Here is a 390-nt window from a genome sequence, read left to right as displayed (position 1 = left end):
GAACTAGAAAACCTAAATAGTTCCATATCTATTTCAAAGATAAACACATAGTTAAATATTTTGGCTAGGATCTCCAGTACAATGTTGACTGGAAGAAGTGAGAGCCAACATCTTAACTTTCTTTCTGATATTCAGAATAATGCATTCAGTCTTTTACTATTAAATATATTACTGGTAGGTTTATTCCTGATGTCTTTTATCAGAATAAGGGAGTTTCCTCTTTTTCTTGTGCACTGAGAGATTTTCTTACGAACAAATATTGAATTTTTTCAAATATTATTTCTGCATCTACCAAGGTAAATTTAAAAAATATGTTCATGTGGCGAATTGTATTGATGTATGTTTTACTTAGTGTTCTCCAGAGTAACAGAAGTGATAGAAGGTGTACTT

The sequence above is a fragment of the Homo sapiens genome, chromosome 12 (assembly GCF_000001405.40).
Source record: "Homo sapiens chromosome 12, GRCh38.p14 Primary Assembly".
In the NCBI taxonomy this organism is placed as follows: Eukaryota; Metazoa; Chordata; class Mammalia; order Primates; family Hominidae; genus Homo; species Homo sapiens.
This window is presented reverse-complemented; position numbering follows the sequence as displayed.